This window comes from Homo sapiens, chromosome 12 (assembly GCF_000001405.40).
Source record: "Homo sapiens chromosome 12, GRCh38.p14 Primary Assembly".
NCBI lineage: Eukaryota > Metazoa > Chordata > Mammalia > Primates > Hominidae > Homo > Homo sapiens.
Window position 1 is genome coordinate 20,741,133 of NC_000012.12, and position 21,605 is coordinate 20,762,737.

The 21,605-nt window shown below is 33.6% G+C and overlaps 1 protein-coding gene across 4 annotated transcripts in view; it reads left to right on the forward strand.

The window, feature by feature from the left end:
- SLCO1C1 (solute carrier organic anion transporter family member 1C1) overlaps window positions 1–12,254 on the forward strand; it is a 58,055-nt gene extending 45,801 nt beyond the window's left edge. For 2 of the 4 annotated variants that reach the window (NM_017435.5, NM_001145945.2), the window contains exons 13-15: window positions 2,173–2,237; window positions 9,543–9,660; window positions 11,174–12,254. In NM_017435.5, coding sequence (NP_059131.1) covers window positions 2,173–2,237; window positions 9,543–9,660; window positions 11,174–11,396 — 406 coding nt within the window. In that variant the 3' untranslated portion in view covers window positions 11,397–12,254. Of the gene's footprint in view, window positions 1–2,172; window positions 2,238–9,542; window positions 9,764–11,173 lie in introns of all 4 variants that reach the window. The other 2 variants (NM_001145944.2, NM_001145946.2) reach the window with 1 other exon arrangement.

Below are 21,605 nucleotides of genomic sequence, written 5' to 3' on the forward strand. Positions count from 1 at the left end.
CTTGTGAGAACACACTATCACAACAACAGCATGGGGGAGCCACACCCATGAGCCAATCACCTCCCAAGAGGTCCCTCTCCCAACATGTGGGGATTACAATTTGGATTACAATTCAAGATGAGATTTGGGAACAGAGAGCCAGACCATATCAAGGACTTCAACCATTTTTGCTTATAAAACCCTAAACAAATTTGTAAAAGTATGTAGCTTCTTGCATATTTATAAATTGACACATAAAAATTTTTTATCATAAGTTTAAATAGTAACTGAATATTGATTTCTGGTATATTATAAATATTTTTATTTTAAAAATAACAGTTTTAAATGTAAGTCACTTTCTAATGTAATTAATGGGACCTAAAAAATAGTGATTTGATAACCAACATCACCTGGGTCAGAATTGTATAACAACTACTTTAACAGTGACAAGCATTACATATTTCCTTCTTCCTGTATTTATATCATCATTCAACTTCCCTACAGGTTTTTCTCCTATTAAAACACAATTTGTGCTCGAATTTTTTTTACTGATTTTCCTATCATACATCTGTAACAATTACATGAATCCAAATTGTAAAATAGTTTTGAAAATAGAAGTCTCAGTTATAATATTTTCATTCTAATTGAGTTAGCTTTAGCTTTGCAAATATTTCTATTGTACAACTGATAAAAATCACTTAAAATAATAAAAATTTTGATAAAATTATTAAACATGAAAAGTCAACATTTACTAGAAATCAGTATTTATGAGATGGACTGGGTGATTTTCAAATTAATTCTTATATTCAAGGATAAATACTAATTTTTTTCTAAAGTAAGACTAACCAAAGTATTGTACACATTTTTAATTTCCCACAATTTTTATCATAGAAATTGTTTAGGAATGACAAACAGAAAACAGAACTTATTATCCACAAACCTGCTATTCTCAAAACAGCTTTCACCAAATATGGGAAATACAACATGGAGAATATGAGACAGTTACATTTACAAATGGCAGCCTGAGTTTGACAAAATGGCAAAACATTGACCTAGACTTTCCAGAACATTGTGGCTACTTCTTCAATATCTTATATTGTGCCAAGTGTAGAATCAGGTTGCTTACCACAGAAAGCATCTTTCTAACCACTAGTCCTTCATATTAACTATTGTGAATTTTGATGTCAGAAGGACTCCCTTGGGTTGAAGAAGAAAAGTCATGTTTTTTTTTTTTTGCCTCTTTTAAAGCAGAGACTAAATGATATAATATGTAAGAAGTACTTAGTAGTGTGGTTAACACTCAGTAGTTATATACATCATTATGATTACTATTAAATTTCATAGGCCAATCAGTTTAAGCTTTACAGTCATATTAATGACACTCTTATTATTTAGGTGTTTTTGCACTTTTCTGATTTATTTATTTATTTATTTACTTTTTAGATGGAGTCTCGCTCTGTCACCCAGGCTGGAGGGCAGTGGCACAATCTCGGCCCCCTGCAAGCTCCGCCTCTCGGGTTCACGCCATTCCCCTGCCTCAGCCTCCTGAGTAGCTGGGACTACAGGCACCCGCCACCATGCCCAGCTAATTTTTTTTTTTTTTTTTTTTTAGTAGAGACGGGGTTTCACCGTGTTAGCCAGGATGGTCTTGATCTCCTGACCTCGTGATCGCCTCGGCCTCCCAAGGTGCTGGGATTACAGGCGTGAGCCACCGCGCCTGGCCTCTGATTTTTTTAAATTCCCTTAGCAACAACTTTTATCATGCCACAGTGATTATATCTACTCTGATCACTTTGGCCCTGTGCTTTTAGACAAAAAGCCATAAAAATTTTTTGGCTATTAATTCTTTATTGTTGCTTAAAAATTCTAACAATTTCTTAGGAATTTGAGTTTTATTCTGAATCTTTGCTATTTTGGTAATTAAATTTGACTTTACTAGCACCATTTGAATATGGCATGTATGGGTGATGTAGTTTCTAGAAATATTAATTATAAACTTCTTGTAGCATTGCATGAAATGGAATGTGGCTTTTACGTATTTTGCCCTCCCTATGTTAGCACACCAATGGGTTCAACATAAATGGCACTTGAATTCTAACATGATTTCATGTATGTTAGGCAGATTATCCTTCAAATTTCTATTTGCTTTAATGGATTATATATTTCTTGTAATGGTGCTTTTGTTGATTTTAGGTGCATTAAGCCACAGCTTAAGTCTTTTGCCTTGGGTATCTACACATTAGCAATAAGAGTTCTTGGTAAGTTTAACCTATGCTTTAATTTATGGTAGACACCGTAAGTGTATTTTGAAGACTTTTCTAAATATTTTTACAGAATTGCCATGCATAAATATATGTTGTAGGTGGCAAAGTTCATAGTCTTTTTTATTCCTTTCTTCATTTCTTTGTTCCCTTCCTCCTTTTCTTGACTCCTTTCTTCGTTACAGAAATATATTGCCTCTTTTGTGTTCCAGATACAACAGAGATTTTGTGAAATTAATCATAATTTTTGTTTAACAATCTTACCTTTTCTAGTACTTGTGTGTTCTTACAAAATCCATGGCTTTAACAAGAGAGCTCTCAGAAATTAATAAGTAAGAAAGGCTGAAGCCTAAATATATTTTTTTTCAGTTATTAAAATGGAAAGAATTCCTTTGAGTTACTCTCAATGCTTATCCCTTATGTTATTAGGTAGAAAAATAAGGTATTATTTAAACCATGCAAATAAATTTGAGTAGGTCATACTTTAAATTGTAATTGAAATGTTTTTTCTGACTACCAAATTTTTAAATATATATTGATTAAAACCTATAGAAAACAGTGAATGAGACAAAGTTTTTATCCTTAAAGAGTTTATATATTAAAAAATAAAATAATTTTGAATATTTCACTGCCATTTGTCAGAAAGGAACAACCCAGAAAGAAAAACAAACTCAAAGCTTAAAAAATTTGAAATCAAATTTGGTTTACATAGATCTTGATATAAAATGGTTGCATAGCAAGATAATAGAATCCTGATAACATTGAAAAAGAAACAAAAATAGGGTTATATGGCATCATGACTGGCTCTAATTCTATAATGAAATATGTATTAGCTAGAAAAGTGTCATATATTGAGCCTGTAGTATATGCCTGGCAAGAATTGGCCCCCATATCTACCTGTGTTTGGGAATATAGATGGAGCCTACAGAGCAAAAATTGTTCCAACATAAACAAATGATTTACAAAACTGATTTGACAAAAATAATATTTGAAATTGGCAAAAGTATCATAAGCAAAGTCAAATGGCAAATGACTAACTTGCAATTTATGTAACAGACAATGGGCTAATATTCCTATTAGAAAGAAAACTCCTAAGTTTTGAGAAGAAAAAAACAAGCAACAAAGTAGAAAAATGAGCAAAAGATGTGAATTTTTCATGGAAAAATAAATGTAATTGCCTTTTAATATATAGAAAGATGGTCAAATTAGCTCATAAATAGAGCCAAGTTAGAACTACCTTTCTTATCAGGTTGACAAATTACCAAATTTTGTTTGCAATGTATGGAAAAATAGATTATGTTTATACATTGCTGTTGGGAAAATGATGTTCTTTATTGGGCAATAACTGGTAAAATTATATATAGATTTACCTTTTAACCTAATATCTTTACTTCTAAGAATTATACCAAAAATTTGCTAGCAAAAATTATAAAATTTAATCATTATGAATAGGCGCAATAATTGTGACTTTTTATAATAGCAAAAAACTGGAAGTGATCTAAATGTCCATCGGTAGGAGACTGGTTGAATAAACTGTAGTACACACACGTAACAGAGCTGTAAGGATGAATGGGAAAAATCTATCTAATGTTACCGAGTGATCTCCAGTAAGTAAAAAGAAGGAAAATGGAGAACAATTTTTATTGTATGGTGTTTTTGGTGTTACATGTGGAAAGGTGGAAATATTATATGCATGTGCTAAGGCATTTTGCTCTTTTTTAAAAAAGAAACAATGGAAGCATCAACTAAAAACTAATTTTAAAAAATGGTTACCTGTAGAAGAAAGGGAAGAGGGATAAATTTCAGGATGGAAGTAAGACTTTGTAAATGTAGCTTTTTATATGATTGTTAAATCAAAATTATATAAGGTTTGATATAACTGAAAATAAAATTTAAAATAACCAAATCTTAAACTGAAACTGTTTAACATAAGCATACATTGGTTAAATAAGCATACATGAAAAACTTTAAATGCCTTAAAAAATAAAATTTTTTGCCAAATCTTCATAGATTAACTGGATTTATAGTCATTATTAGTACTAATATCAATATTTTTATGTTGAAACTATTATATATTTAAGATAAAGCAATTGAAATGTTAATATTACTTGGAATTAATATTTTTAGTAAAATAGAAAAGTGATACAAGTATAAAATAAAAAAATTCAAAGGCTGGGTGCGGTGGCTCATGCCTGTAATCCCAGCACTTTGAGAGGCCGAGGCAGGTGGATCAACTGAGGTCAGGAGTCCGAGACCAGCCTGCCCAACATGGTGAAACCCCATCTCTACTAAAAACACAAAAATTAGCCGGGTGTGCTGGTGTGTGCCTGTAATCCCAGCTACTCAGGAGGCTGAGGCAGGAGAATTGCTTGAACCTGGTAGGCAGAGGTTGCAGTGAGCTGAGATCACACCACTGCACTCCAGCCTGGGTGACAAAGCAAGTCTCCATCTAATAAAAAAAGAAAAAAAAAAAGAAATAAAGCTCATTCTTAAATTTGAACTTAAAACATCAATATGAACTCACATATTTTAATTTTAAAATAATGTGTATTTTATAGTTCCATCTCCTGAAAATTCTAGAAACTTTGAAACCCAGAAGAAATGAACACCACGACACTTAATCTGTGATATCTAAATATAATCTCGCAGTAAAAGCATATGGCACCTTGGAGAAATGACTGATTCAAGGCCTAGGGTAGAAAATGCATGAGATGATTATGGGACTTTTTTTATACTAGAAAATGAATAAGCTATCAAAGCCTAAGAAGGCTATATCACAAGGGAACAGAACCAATTTGAGGAGACTGGCCTCAAGGTGAGATAAATTGAAACTCAAAATAGTAGCAACCGTAGTAACAATAATGGCTGCAGTTTATTGAAATACATAGAATATATTAAAACACATGAGTTTATAATGATACTTTAAAAATTTGGAGAATATCAGGACATCAAGTCATTATTCTGAAAATTGAGAAATAAAGGAGAAAAAAATCATTTATCCTGCCTTTCTTCTATTAACTGTATGTCAAAGTAACCAAATTAGTCAATTAAGGAAAATTCCTTCTTCGAGAAAAACCCAAATACTTTCTATAAGAAGCATAGATTAAAAAAAAAAATCCTGCCTTGTAACCTTAAAAATAGCTAAAAGCTTTAGATGAAAGTTGGTGAGCAACTTCATAATGGAGGGATCAGACTGACATAGCCTGAACTTCACACGCATCTTAGCATTACTAAGAGTGGCAACTAGGTAGCATGTGCCTTCTAACTGGGACAGAATAAAAAAATACACAGTACATTTGCCTGAAGTAAACTGAACCTGAATCTAACAAGATCTAACTACCAGATTCTAGGAAAAATGGATGATAGGGGAATCAATTAAATAATGTTATAAAGAAGAATTAAATCCAGAATGTGGCATATCCTATGGGACTTGGTATTGTCTTTTTTTTTTCAAAAACCATTAGTAAGAAAAAAAGTGAAGATTGGATATTGCTCTGAAGAGTCATCAACTAAATACAATGTGTTTATTTGGTTTGGATCCTTATAAAAACAAACGAACTAAAAAAATCCTTGGAGACAATCCAAAAACTTGAATATGTACTACATTTTAGATAAAATTAATAAATTATTATAAAATGTGTTAGGAGTAAGAATGACATAGCGGTCATGTTTTTAAAAAATGTCATCAGGTAGAGATGCATGCTGAAATATACATAATTGAAATGACATGATGTTTGAGATTGCCTTTAAAATATTAAAGTAAGAGTTCAGGCTGGGCACATTTGCTCATGCCTATAATCCCAGCACTTTGGGAGGCTGAGGCGGGTGGATATCTTGAGGCCAGGAGTTCGAGACCAGCCTGGCTACAACATAGCTAAACCCCAATCTCTACTAAAAATACAAAAATTAGCCTGGCATGGTGGTGCATGCTTGTGGTCCCAGATACTCGGGGAGTCTGAGTCACAAGAATTGCTTGAACCCAGGAGGCAGAGGTTGCAGTGAGCCAAGATTGTGCCACTGCACTCCAGCTTGGGTGACAGAGGGAGACTCTGTCTCAAAAAAAAATAGAGTTCAGAATGGGGAGAGAGATGAAACAGCAATGGCAAAACATTAATAATTGTCAAAGCTATGATGGTACATGAGGGTTAATTATATCATTCTGTCTGCTTTTGTGAATTTTTGAAAATGTTCTATTATAATAATCTTAAACCACGTACAGAAAATTGCAAACATTTGAATTTTTTTGGCTTGTCTTCACATCATTAAAGGTAATGTAAAATTGGTTATCACCTGGATTTTTTAAGTGGTAAATCATATATTTGTTTGGTTTTTGAGGCACCAAATAATCCAAATTTAATTCAAAATTTTCTGCTCTTCTTGTTCTTGGGGTTTCAAGCAAAATAGAGGGGATCATTTGTTATTTAAAAATGTAAACATATACAAAGATAGCAAGAACTGTCTTTGTATACAGCAAAGATAGCAATGAACTCCCATTTATCAATTACCCAATTTCAACAATTATCAATACACAGCTCATCTTAGGACATCTGTGTCCCTAACTACTTACCCAACTAGCTTATTTTGAAGTAAGTCTCAGACTACTGTATTTCTTCTATAACATGTTTGGTGTGCTCTTCTAATCAAAACCATAATGACTTGTTTTAATCTGGTGATTCTTGCATCTTAAAAAATAACTTCTTAATATTAGCAAATACCCAATTACTGCTTAAATTCTTTAAATTATCTGATGTTTCCTTACACATGTAGGTTTGAATTAAGAACCAAACAAGGTCCACAATTGCATTAGGTGATATATCTCTAAAATCTTTTTTAATCCATAGGCTTTACTTCCCTCTTTCTCTCCCATTTGTTGCGAAAATTTCAAATCTACCAAAAAATTTAAATTACAATGAATAACTGTATAACTTTTACTGGGATTTATCAACTGTGTCCAAAAACCAGAAATCTCTCTCCTCTGTTTCTCTGAGCATACAAATATTTTGCTGAATCATTTGAAAATAAGTAGTGAACATGCTGACACCTCACTCCCAAAGCCCTCAACTTGTGTTCTTCTACTAGAGCAAATCTATATATAGACTTGTCCTATATAACCACAATACCATTCTCACACTTCAGAAATTCAACATTGATATGCTACTCTATCTAATATAATCCCTCATTCAAATTTCTTTCATTATAACAATAGTGTCTTCTATAGTGTTTTATTTTTTCTTTTGATCCAAGGTCAAAGACCACATATTGCATTTAGTTACCTTTCTTTATCTCCAAAAATTCCTCATTCTTATTTTTTTGTTCTTTTGTGACATTTATATTTTTTTCAAGAGGCAAAGCCAGTTGTTTTGTAAAATATCCCAACTATTGGATGTGTTTGTTTGCTTGTGAGTATGTCCAGGTAAAATATTGTTGGTGGCAATACTACACACGTGATTTGCATGATGCTTAGTAAATCATATCAGGAAGCACATCATTTCAGTTTATACCTCATTGGAATTTTAATTTTGGTCCCTTGGTGAAGGTGGTGTCTACCAGTTTTCTCCATTGAAAAATCCTTCTGCAGTTAATAAGTCACCTATAATTTGACACTTCGAGATTATGTCACCATTCTGTTTCCCAAAAATCTTTCACCCAAAATTTTAGCAGCCATCGATGAGTCTGGATTGAATCAATTATTTACATGAGTATTTGCAAAGTTTAGGTAAACCTTTACATAGAAAATATTTTCAAATATTTTCATTTGTTTTCAAAGAACAAATGGATAATCTCTGAAATTTAGAAGTGTCATAAATATTCTTAGATGACTTTAAAAATTTAGTGAGATTATTTTGTTCAATATAAGCATACAAAGCAATTTTATAACAGAAGAAAACATATACAAAAAAGGTTAAAACTCAAATGCCGGAAACAACCAGACAGTTGATGGAAACGAGTGATGTAGGCAGAGAGAAAGCTGTATGGACTTGTGGTGGACTCCAAGTGTAGGCAGCGGTTGGGGGAGTGAGGCAGCTGCTGCTTAACTCCAGCCAACTATGACCATGGACTGCCAGACAACATGGTTCTTAAGAGAACTCAGAAGTGTGCAAGTTTATATGAAATCTCCTAGGTTTCAGCTATTGGCTACTAACTAAAAAACAAAATCCCAAAGTCTACACAGACTAAATAACCAATGTTAATGAACCACCAATTTAGAACATATAAAATATACACTGAGCTATGAACAACTGCTTAAGATACTTTCGTTAATATTTGCACATGAGAGACACATTTTCTCCCTAAGGAGGGATTAAATTCCTAACATTTTCTGAGAACCTACTAGGGTTTCTGGCATGAATAAGGAGGACATGTTTCCTACCGTGGTGAGCTTACAGTCTAGCAGAGAAGGCAATTCAACAAGCTATTACAGGAGTATTTAAAGTTTGATGAGATGTAAAACAATGAGAATTAATGCAGTTTAGTTTATCAAAATGAACTGAAGGAAAACGTTCAAACTTGGATTTTAAAAGTGAGTGTGTATTAAGAATGTGAATAAGAGAAAATCATTGCTTGGGATAAAGGAAACTACACAAGGCATTCAGACAAGAGGAGAGAACATTTTAGTCACTGAAAGAAATCCAAGAAAATTTGAGTCTGAAATGTAAGACAACAATCTTGCCCAAAGTGAGGCCACAAAAGTAGAAAGACCCAATGTTCAGTTAACTACTCTTCTTTTGGAACAGATGTCTTGGGAAGTCACCTACTTAATTCAGTGATGCAACCTCTGTATGATGTACAGATTTGAGAAGGTTAATGAATGAAGCCAAGGAATCATGAATTGGCTGTTGCTTTAAGTTAGGGTAGAAGGAGTGGCAGTGGGAATGGAAAGAAGAGAAAGTGTTTAAGATATACCTAATAGATAGACTCAGTATGATTCCGGGACAGATTAAATATAGTGATAGCCAGAGAGAGGAGAAAGAAGGATCAATGATAACTCACAAGTCTGCTTTAATGACTGGGCTTCCACTGATAAAGGGACAGGTCTATAGGGGAAGAAGTTGAGCTCATGTTGAGTTTGAAGTGCCTGAGTGACATGCTTCTGGAGATAAATAAATGGCAGTTACTGCATGATTCTGGAGCTTATGAGAAAAGACTGGATTAGAGAGATAGGTTTGGGAGATTTCAGCATGTAATTGATGGCCTTTCATCTCCAAAACAGTAATTAGATTAAAGTAAGTGGTTTCAGATAATCGTTCATAGACAAAAAGATGTGCATATGTTTTTAACAGCAATTATTTGTTTTTCTCACAGCAGGAATCCCAGCTCCAGTGTATTTTGGAGTTTTGATTGATACTTCATGCCTCAAATGGGGATTTAAAAGATGTGGAAGTAGAGGATCATGCAGATTATATGATTCAAATGTCTTCAGGTACCAAATCAAAAGCATTCCCGCATCTCATTGCTACAGCATCCCAGATTTACACAATGCCACTGACACTAACAAGTTTTCATGTCATTTCACTGCTTGTAAGGTAAAGAATAGTCTAATCAAAAAGTGTGATCTGTAGTCATAGAATAATTATATTATTATTTGATTAGATCTTTGATTTTGTCCCTATTCATTACCTTGACCCCCATTTTAAATGAGTAATCATTTTTAAAATATGACAAAAGTGTCCAGAATACAGTAGAATTTTGAAAGTTTATGCACACAAATGGGCAAGTATTTCCCTGAAATTCAGAGGCATTTAAATTTAGGTCACATTTTGGGTTTGATTTTTATTCTTTTTCAAACTGAGCCAAACTGTACCACTTACGTCAGATATAATACCCCTGGGCAAGAGTTGGATTTGGCTCTAAATCTGTCCGGCTTTTATTGCCAAACTAATGTTCAATTATTCTCGTACTTGAAATGCATGAAAGTAAAAGGTTTTCTCTGTGTGGGTGAGTGTATATGGGGGTTGGGTGGCGTGGCTTTTTCACTATGGTATCATTCAGTTCAGCTCATTAAACATTTAGTCCCTTATTGCTTAAAAAAATGCAAAAAGCATTGAAGCAATGGCTTAAAAGCAAGAAAGATTGTTTAAAAGACTTACAAACTGAGCATTTTCTGGAGAAATAAACTTGGTACTGAACCATCTAAGTTGGATGTGAATTGGGCACACCATTTTGAATAAATTTGTTTGAGTTAATAGGTTTTGATGCTATGCGTGAAATTTATTTTGGTCTTTGAAAGGGACCCAATCTGTGAGTATAATTTAGTATTTCCTCACATTTTTGCTAAGGCTGTATTAACTGTAATGTAGAGACAATGCAACTCAATCAGAGATTGAGAGTATGTTTTCAAGGTAACCAGAATGAGACATTCAACCTGTTCTTCCATACCTTAGCATCTTCTGACAAAGCATAGAACTATAGGTTTCTCATGAAATAAACTGATTTAAATCTCTGGTTTATTCTGAAATCATTCTGCTTTACTCAGAGCTCCAATTCCCATTAGCATTTCTTTATGCAAGTTTTCCAAAGAAATGAAGTTGGGAAAGGTCTGAGGATAGGGTAGCCACATAATTTATCATTCAAAACTGGGTACTTTTGAGTGTGAAAAGGAGCACTATTAAAATTATACTGGGCCAGCACTAGCATAAACTGGGGCTGTTCTAGGCAAACAGGGATATGGTTACCTGGTCTAAGGAAATAATTTACAGAGAGGATGAAACTGATTATGTAATTAGTAGTAACTAAAAATGATGGTGCTACTAAGACATTGCTTTATTTTATAAACTGCCTTCAACAGTCTGTCAGTATTTCATAAAACAGTCTTTTATATAAGCCACCAAATCTACATTCTTAAAGAAAACCATCAGTATGATATTATTACCTTTTAAATTTTCTTTCAAGTTGGTTGTTGCATTAATTATAACAGAGATTCTCTCTTCTTCTAGACATATATATCTGGGACTAACTGTGATACTGGGCACAGTGTCAATTCTCCTAAGCATTGCAGTACTTTTCATTTTAAAGAAAAATTATGTTTCAAAACACAGAAGTTTTATAACCAAGAGAGAAAGAACAATGGTGTCTACAAGATTCCAAAAGGAAAATTACACTACAAGTGATCATCTGCTACAACCCAACTACTGGCCAGGCAAGGAAACTCAACTTTAGAAACATGATGACTGGAAGTCATGTCTTCTAATTGGTTGACATTTTGCAAACAAATAAATTGTAATCAAAAGAGCTCTAAATTTGTAATTTCTTTCTCCTTTCAAAAAATGTCTACTTTGTTTTGGTCCTAGGCATTAGGTAATATAACTGATAATATACTGAAACATATAATGGAAGATGCAGATGATAAAACTAATTTTGAACTTTTTAATTTATATAAATTATTTTATATCACTTACTTATTTCACTTTATTTTGCTTTGTGCTCATTGATATATATTAGCTGTACTCCTAGAAGAACAATTGTCTCTATTGTCACACATGGTTATATTTAAAGTAATTTCTGAACTGTGTAATGTGTCTAGAGTAAGCAAATACTGCTAACAATTAACTCATACCTTGGGTTCCTTCAAGTATTACTCCTATAGTATTTTCTCCCATAGCTGTCTTCATCTGTGTATTTTAATAATGATCTTAGGATGGAGCAGAACATGGAGAGGAAGATTTCATTTTAAGCTCCTCCTTTTCTTTGAAATACAATAATTTATATAGAAATGTGTAGCAGCAAATTATATTGGGGATTAGAATTTTGAATTAATAGCTCTCCTACTATTAATTTACATGTGCTTTTTGTGTGGCGCTATAAGTGACTATGGTTGTAAAGTAATAAAATTGATGTTAACATGCCCAATTATTGTTCTTTTATGAATCCAATGAATTTAAAACTATTGTTAAATATAATACTGCCCCACTTTAATATATGTAAGCAACTTCCTACTTATACACGACGTGTTCCTAAAACATGTTTGAAAGGTGAATTTCTGAAAGTCTACAATAAATGTAGGTGTTACAACAGGAATGGAGAGTGATGGATGAATTGATGGGAAGTCTGAGTGTGGTACCTTTTGGTGCTCCACAGGCCCACATCACAGGGCCTAGGGACTCCTGCACAGGGAGTTCCCCCTGGGACAGCCTGCCAGATAGCTCTGTTTCTCTGCAACTGAAAAAGTCAAGCCAAGAGTTTCTTTTCTTTTTTTTTTAAGACATAGTCTCACTCTGTTGCCCAGGCTGGAGTGCAATGGCGCGATCTCGGCTCACTGCAAGCTCCGCCTCCCGCGTTCACGCCATTCTCCTGCCTCAGCCTCCTGAGTAGCTGGGACTATCAGCGCCCGCCACCATGCCCGGCTAATTTTTTGTATTTTTAGTAGAAACGGGGTTTCACCGTGTTAGCCAGGATGATCTTGATTTCCTGACCTCGTGATCCACCCGCCTCGGCCTCCCAAAGTGCTGAGATTACAGGTGTGAGCCACCACGCCCGGCCAAGAGTTTCTTCTTTCCTGACTTCCTGATGCTCTTCTGACGGGGGTTGGTAGGTTCAGCAGTCAAAAATCTTTAATCTTTAGCTCTATGATGAACTATATGTTTCTTCCTCCACCATAGCTGTAAAGAAAGGCTTAATCCTTCCAAGAAAAGCAGACTTAAGACAGAGACCACCCTAGTGAGGTATACTGTTTCTACTGCTGGCTCACCATCCAATTCTGTCCACATTCTGTTAGTCCGGTACAATCCGGAGAAGACTAGATGAAAGGCAAAGTTGGGTTAGAAAAGATAACCTGAAGGACATTGCAGTCTAAGTGAGACCACAGAGTCCTTCAAATGCACAGGAGGACCCTTACTTACTCAGGAGATTTTCAAGTTTACAATGGGAACCCATAATTCTACTATGTACCAGCCACACCAAAAATCGTATTACTTAATCTGTGTAGCACTCTTAGTATCTGAATCCCCATTTTACAAATGAAACAGGCTAAGAGAGGTTAGATACATTGCTTAACCTTGGAGGGGCACAGACAGGATTAAAACTAGGTTAAATCTAAAGTTATCTTTCCACCATACCAACCTGACCCTATAATGTTACACTAAACTGCTACTATTATTTGTAATGTCTCTGCATTACTTTATTTCACTGGATCAGTTTGCGCCTATAGTTGCCGTCATCTGTGTATTTCAGTACCATACAAGTCATCAACAACTACTATAAACCACACAAATAATTTATTTAGCATATTGTTTTCTCCAAATGTTGTTGATTTATATTTTGGAATACTGTAGTGCTAAGCCCAAAACATTTAAGTCGGATGATCGAGGATAATCCTTTAGAATTATGGAAACTTGGAATTGGAACACAGTTTTAGTAGCCTTTAGAACAATCAGCACACGTCAACAGGACACTCCCACCAGAGCAGTCTGTTTGAGGCATTTCTTGAAGCCTAAATCCAACAAGAAGGCCCAGCTCAAAAATATGGCAGCCTCACTCACGTTTCCCCATTATGTTGCCTTCGAATTCCTGAACTCAAGCGATGTGCCTGCTTCAGCCTCCCCAGTAGCTAGGGTTAGGACTACAGGTGCAAACCACTGCTCCTTCAGGTGAAGTGATCATACAGTACAACCAAAATCATTTGCATTCTTTTAATTTTCCCTTTATATATCAATCTTGCAAATATGAATGGGAAAAAAGGAGATAGAAAATTTGGAGTTGGAGAAAGAAGGAAATGTTCTCTAAATGTATATTAACTTTGTCAATTTATTTGAATTGGTGATGCTTGTTTTATATTTTGCTATTTTTGAAAATAAAGACTTTTTAATTTTTATTTCCAGTTTTGCTTCCAGCAGGCCTACTTCAGACCTGCTGCTCCCCTGCTAACTTGTGAGCAAGAATCCTTTTTGTCATCCCTGTATGAATCTTACCCATAATAAATATTTACTGATTGGGGTGAGGAGTACACTTGTCAAGAGATTTCTTTGTGGAGAAATAATTTAACTTCAAATTCTTCATCCTGCCTCCTACATGCTCTTTATTTTTCAAGGCTTTTTATCACAATATCTTGAAAAATAACTTCTTTACAAGTAAATTTCCAAACAGAAGAGTTTCCAATTTATTCTTGAATAACTTGAAAAATAAAAAACACAAAGGATGAATAAATGATGATCTTCTTATGAAAGAACTGAAGGTCAATTTAAAGGAAGCGTATTTTTATGCACAACCATTAATTTTAAAGTGGAATTACATACATTAAACTCAGCTGTATAACAAATGAGGGTATCATTTAGTGGGAAATTGAATTTACTAAGAGGAACCCTCATATTTTAGATAAGTAAACTCATTTGACAGAGGTAAGCAGACTTTTTATGCCTCAGAAAGCACAATTAGTTCTTTATTTTTTAATTAAACCAAACTCCTTTTCAGAAGTCAAGGAAATTCCCTCAGTTCCAAGACCAAACTTTTGAGGTAGAGCTGTGATTGATGTGTAGGATCCCACAATTGCTCCAAGTTCAATGGCAACATTATTCTCTTATTTTGCAGCCATGGCCCCTAAAGGTGACCAGCATCCCCACTGAACATCTGATTCACTATAACCTTCAGACAGGTAAAGCTACAGCAATGTCATTTTATAGGTGGAGTGACTTAAATTGGATTAAATGACTTCCCCAATGTGGGTGTGTGCAAGCCAATGCTGGGTTCTTTCATTACATCATGATTTCTATTAAAAACTAAAAACAATCTGAAGCCTCTAAAAACTGCTGGAAGAAATGTGACCATTAGCATTTATGGAATTTACACTTAAATATTACATACCTATACTTGTACATAAAGAGAGATTCAAGAGATAAATTGACATATACTTGAGACTTGACATATACTTGATAATAATATATTCACTATTATATTAAATGAAACAATTTATATTAAGTGCCCTCTGTATGTGTGCTAAATGCCTTAGACATTCTCAATTTTAAAGATTAAAATAGCTTTATGTGTAAGGTATTGTTACTGATATTTTCAGATAAACAAACTGAGGCTTAAAGAGTTAGTGATTTGTCCAAAGCCAGTGAGTTTTAGCAGTTGGTGGAGCAAAGACTTAAACTGGAGTTTATCAGCTTCAAAAAGCCATGTTGTGCCTGCATTAATCTATATCCCAAATCACTGGCTTTCACTAACTCTGCTAAAAATCAAAATTTGGACATCGCAATTAGAAAAGTTTTAACACACTAAAACATATACATCGTTTAAAAAATGAAAAAAAAAATTGAAATGAGAAGTAATAGTCCTCTAGCCCACCTTGACTTCTATTCCTCAAAGACCTCTAACCCACCTCTAGCCCACCTTGACTTCTATTCCTCAAAGGCAACAACTGACTACTCACTAGTTTAGTTTGTTGGCTTTTCTTTTCCTGTTTCTTTTTTAAAATGTTTATTTTTAGAAACAAGGGTCTCACTATGTTGCCTTTGAACTCCTGGGCTGAAGCCATGCTCCTGCCTCAGCCCCCCAAATAGTTAGGACTACAGGTGTGAGCCACTGTGCCTGGCTTGTTTGTTGGTTTTTTCGATGGTCACTTTCATATCTTTAAATGTATACTCATATGACTACTCTTGATTTACCAACTTTAGGCAATGTCTGTTGACTGTCTACTCTGATAGATTGGTACTAATGTCACTCACAAATCCTCCATTGTTCTTCTGTTACCTGTACATAGTAAGGTCACTAAGTACAGAGGTCACTATGTGCATTTTGCAAAATGAAAAACTTAGAACTTCCTAACTTCTCTCCAGGTCTTCAAACCCTCTTCCATCTCCCTCTTTATGCTAACTGTACCTTTACTTTTACATTGTTGAGAACAACATTTTTAGTCAGCTCTGTAGTCATACTAATCTAGGAAAGGCCTGAATAATCACCATGAAGATCAACGCCATCCACTCTCCATGGTATGAAAGCTCAGCACTTGAAAACAGAATGAGAGAGGGTAAAAAAAAAAAAAAAAAAAAAAAAAAAAAAAAAAAAAAATTGAGGACCTACTACGTATCAGGCATTAGAGTCATATAACATTTAAATATTAATGTGTAATATTAAAATGTGTTTTCTGTCCAAATAATTTTGGAATATGTTGAGTTAATGATAACACTTATAACTGCAGAATCATAGATTCTTTATTATGATGGTGTACATTGTTGAACTTCTGCAGGGGATGATTATCTCACACTTCTTTGGCATTGAATTCATTTTTCTATAACAAGTCTTGAACATAATTTTCAATACAATATATTTAAAAAATACAATTTCATCGTTTTTTGTATTTTGCCGTCTTTGTCAAATTCTGGTATCAGGATTATGCAACTTTATAAAATTAACTAGACAACTACTTAATTATTAATGTTTTGGAACAGTTTTTATAGCATAAGAATAATCTGTTCCTTTTACGTTGGAAAGAATGTCTTAGCCTTTTTGAAAAATAATACTTTGAAAAGCTTTTGATTGGACATTGTAGCTTTTAAAAAATATATGCTTGTTAATTCAACTTTGAAAATTTGTACTTTTTCTAGAAAAATTTAGATTTGTTTGTTTGTTTGTTTGAGACGGAGTCTCGCTCTGTCGCCCAGGCTGGAGGGTAGTGGCGCTATCTCGGCTCACTGCAAGCTCCACCTCCCAGGTTCACGCCATTCTCCTGCCTCAGCCTCCCAAGTAGCTGGGACTACAGGCGCCCACCACCACGCCCGGCTAATGTTTTATATTTTTAGTAGAGATGGGGTTTCACCGTGTTAGCCAGGATAGTCTTAATCTCCTGACCTCGTGATCTGCCCGCCTTGGGCTCCCAAAGTGCTGGGATTAGGGGTGTGAGCCACTGCGCCCGGCCACGTGTTTTCTTTTGTGAAGTGTCTGTACATGTCCGTTGTCTACTTTTTAATGGGGTTATATGTTATTTTCTTGTTGCTTCGTTTAAGTTCCTTATAGTGTCTTGATATTAGACACTATTAGACACTGGCCAAAAATTTAGATTTTTTAAAAGATAATTTCAGCTTTATAAACTTGGAGCATCCAAACTTAGTATTTCTTATTATGTTTCTTCTTTATTCCTAATTTGGTGTATTGAGTTTGTCTTTTTTGTGCATTATGCTTGTCAGTTACTTATTTCATTGAATTTTTCAAAGAAATGGCTTTTAAATTGTTTGCTAATTGATTAATTTTTTGTTTAATTTTGTTACTTTCTTCCTTCTATTTTCTTTAGACATACTTTTTAAAATATTTTCCTAAATGATTGATTTGTAGGCTTGTAACTGTATTCTCTGGTGTAATAATTCAAACATTTATTTGCTGCAATGTACAGCTTTATGATTCAAAAGGTTGAACATGCTGTAGCATCAATGATGTTTCTCAAATTGTTTACAAATGCATTCTTGATTTTCTATTTGACTCAAAATTTCTATTTACTCTAGAAGGAGACTATTTAAAAATTTTCTTCTGTTTGGATATTTTAATTTAAATTTGTCTTTTAAAATCATCAATTTGTAAAAATGTTTTGGATTTTGAAGAAAAAGTATATTCTCTTATCATAGAGGAAAATAATGGAAATATATTTATCAAATCTAATTATGCTATTTGCATATTTGGTACTTATTCTGTTTTCTCTCTCAAGGCTTGAGAGTAGTAATATGCTAAAATTTTCCAATATAATCAAGTTTTTGTGAATTGTTTCCATTAAAAAGTTATTTTTATTTGTAGAATTTAATGTTATGTCTTATAACTATCATATTATGTATAGATTTGATTTTAAAAACTGCTATTCTTAATTTTTTTAAATTCTATTTTAATATTAATATTGCCATTTCTGCTATTTTATTGATTGATGTATCTTTGGTCCTCCCTTTACTTTTTAAATGTTTCTGTGTTTTGTTTATGGTTAGTTATTTTTTAACAGCAAGAAATTGGATTTTATTTTTACTTTATCTAAAATTTTGTCTATTATTAAATAAGTTTAATTGTCATACCAGATGTTTGCCTTTACTTCTGTTTCATTGTTTATTACTTTTTTAAATGTTTCCTTATGGTTTTTCTTTTATTCTTTCATATGCTAAATGTACCATATTTTTACTTTCTATATTTCTGCTAGAAATATGGAAGTATTTTAGCAAACTGAAAATTGTTTTGTAATTAATGACCCACAAATTATAAAAATCTATCATAACAATAACCATCTCTACTTAGAAATACCAAGAATTGAATAATAAATACTGTTTATTGATTCCCTTTGTATAAGATTAAAAGTCTTAAATATTTTTACTTCCCGTCTCCTTTTTTACCCACGATGCCAAGATTTTTTGCTAATATAATCAAGAATTTAAGAACAAAATTATTAATAAATTAATTCTACTTCATATGTTTTCTATTGGCTGTATAAACAAATCTACAAAGAATATTTTATGCATTTACCTTTTTTTCCTCTCTTCATTTATTTCTTTAAAATGGATTCCTGGAGACAATGTTTCAAACATATTAACCAATAGCATTCAAGAAAGGAAAGGTAATAGAGTGTAACACAAACAGCATTTAAAATATTAGCTTCTCCTAAACTTTCACCAAGTTATTGATTTATAAGTTAAAAATAGCATTTCAATGTTTTACTTTTAATGTATTTGCATAAAAATACATGAAATTGTGTATTTTCACAAATACACGATTTGTGAATAGTGAGTTTGAACTTTTATTAGTGCACTGGTCAAATCCACTTTTTTAATAAATAAGTTCACAGTCTCTTAAAATATTTTTCTCTGGGTATTTATCTAATCAATGATATTAGCCTTTGACAGGTCCCATGTTTTCTAATTATGTTTTTTAATTTGAAGTCTTAATTTAAAATTTTATTTTATGTAATTTTGACTCACAGTTTTTAAAAATGTTTATATAATTTTATATCTCCTTTCTCAACAGATTTTATACTTGCATGTGTGCTTAAAATTGTTTTCTTACCTTAAGATGGATAATTACCTACATTTATCTACACTTTATGATATAATTTCTAAAATTAAGATGTTTAATACACATGGATTTATTTCGACGTTCTATTTTGAAATAAGGAAACATTATTTGGATGATGGTTGGCCACTTGTTCCAGTTCTGATTATTGAAAAATCCCTGTTTTATATGTTTAAGAACTCTACTATATTATGAGTGTTTGGAGACTTACGAATCTCATTAATATGCCTATTTCTGACCATTATTATACCATGTAAGAATTACATATGTATATTATAAAAATACATTTTAATTGCTGGCAGCGCATATCCTCCTTTGAATGATTCAAAGTTTCTTAAATATGTTCATTCATATTTATTTCTTCTGGATGCATTCAAGATTTTTTTTCAGTTTCTAATAGTACCAAGGTTGGGCATGGTTGCTCATGTCTGTAATTCTAACATTTCGTGAGGCTGAGGTGGGAGGATCAATCACTTAAGGCCAGAAGTTCGAGGTTACAGTGAGCTATAATCATGCCACTGCACTCTAGACTGGGCCTCAGAGCAGGACACTGTCTCTTTTTTAAAAAGTTTCTGGCCTGGCGCAGTGGCTGACGCCTGTAATCCCAGCACTTTGGGAGACCGAGGAGGGCAGATCACGAGGTCAAGAGATTGAGACCATCCTGGCCAACATGGTGAAACCCCGTCTCTACTAAAAATACAAAAATTAGCTGGGCGTGGTGCCTGTAGTCCCAGCTGGTTGGGTGGCTGAGGCAGGAGAATCACTTCAACCGGGAGGCGGAGGCTGCAGTGAGCCAAGATTGTGCCACTGCACTCCAGCCTGGTGACAGAGCAAGACTCCATCTCAAAAAAGAAAAGAAAAGAAAAAGGCAGAAAAAATATTCCAGGGAAGCAGAAACCAAAGACATGCAGTAGTAGCTATATTTATATAAGACAAAAAGACTTTAAGCAAAAAGAAATTAAAATAAAAATATAAAAAGAAACAAAAATGGCCATTATTTTAGATAAAGGGCTCAATTCAGCAAGAGAATATACCAGTCATAAATATATATGCCCCCAACACTAGAACACCCAGATATATAAATATTATTACAGCTAAAAAGAGAGACAGACCTCGATGCAGTAATAGTTGGACACTTCAATAACCCACTTTAAGCGATTAGATAGCTCAGCTAGACAGAAATTTGACTAGGAAACATCAGGCTTGATCTGCACTACCGACCAAATGAACCTAACAGACATTTAAAGAACATTATTTCCAACAGCTGCTGAATACACATTATTCTCATTAGCATATGAAACATTCTCCAGGATAGACTATATGTTAGGCCATCAAACAAGTTTCAACACACTTTTAAAAAACAAAATCTCATCAAGTACGTTCTCAGGACATAATGAACTAAAAGTGTAAATTAATAACAAGAGGAAGTTTAGAAATGGTACAAACACAAGTAAATTAAGAAACATGCTCCTTACGGATCATTAGGTCGGTGAAGAAACTAAGAAGAAAATGTAAAAAAAATTGAAAGAAAAATGAAAACACAACATACAAAAATCTATGAGATATAGCAAAAGCAGTGCAAAGAGAGGTCAACTTATAGCAATTAATAAATAAAAAACAATTTTTTCACACTGTTATAAAGAAATAAAAGGAATTCTCACAGTATTTCAAAAAACATTGATGAGGGAATTCCTACTAAGTCATTCTATAAGGCTTGCATTACTCACATTCGAAAACCACACAGGAGCACAAAAAACAACAAAAACAAACTACACGAAAACTATCCCTGATGAACATAGACAAGTCTTTAACAAAATATTTGTACACTGAATTCAAAAACTCATCAAAAAGGTAACACACCATAATCATGTGGGATTTGTCCCAGAGATGCAAGGATGATTCAACATATGCAAATCAATGATTGTGATACATCACATCAACAGAATAAAAAACGAAAACTATATGATCATCTCAATAGATGCAGAAAAGTACTTAATAATATTAAACATCCCTCTCATGATAAAACCGCAACAAATTAGGAACTGAAGGAACACATTTCAGCATAATAAAAGCCATATATGACATCTCCAGAGCTAACATCATACAGAATGGAGAGAAGCAGAAAGCTTTTCCTCTAAGTACTGGAAGATTAGAATGTCTAATTTCGTCACTCTCATTCAATATAGTAATGACTGGAAGTCCTAGCCAGAGCAGTTAGGAAATAAAATAAAAGACACGAGAGCATGTGTTTCAACACAGAGCTCAGCCGGCTACCTCTCCCAGCTGCTAGAAAACACTTTGTGGAAACACATATTTGGTGAAAAATCACATTTCACTAAAGACAGTTCGAATTCTGAAGACAATTTTCTTTGCTATGGCTGAAAACCACACTTTCCCAAACCA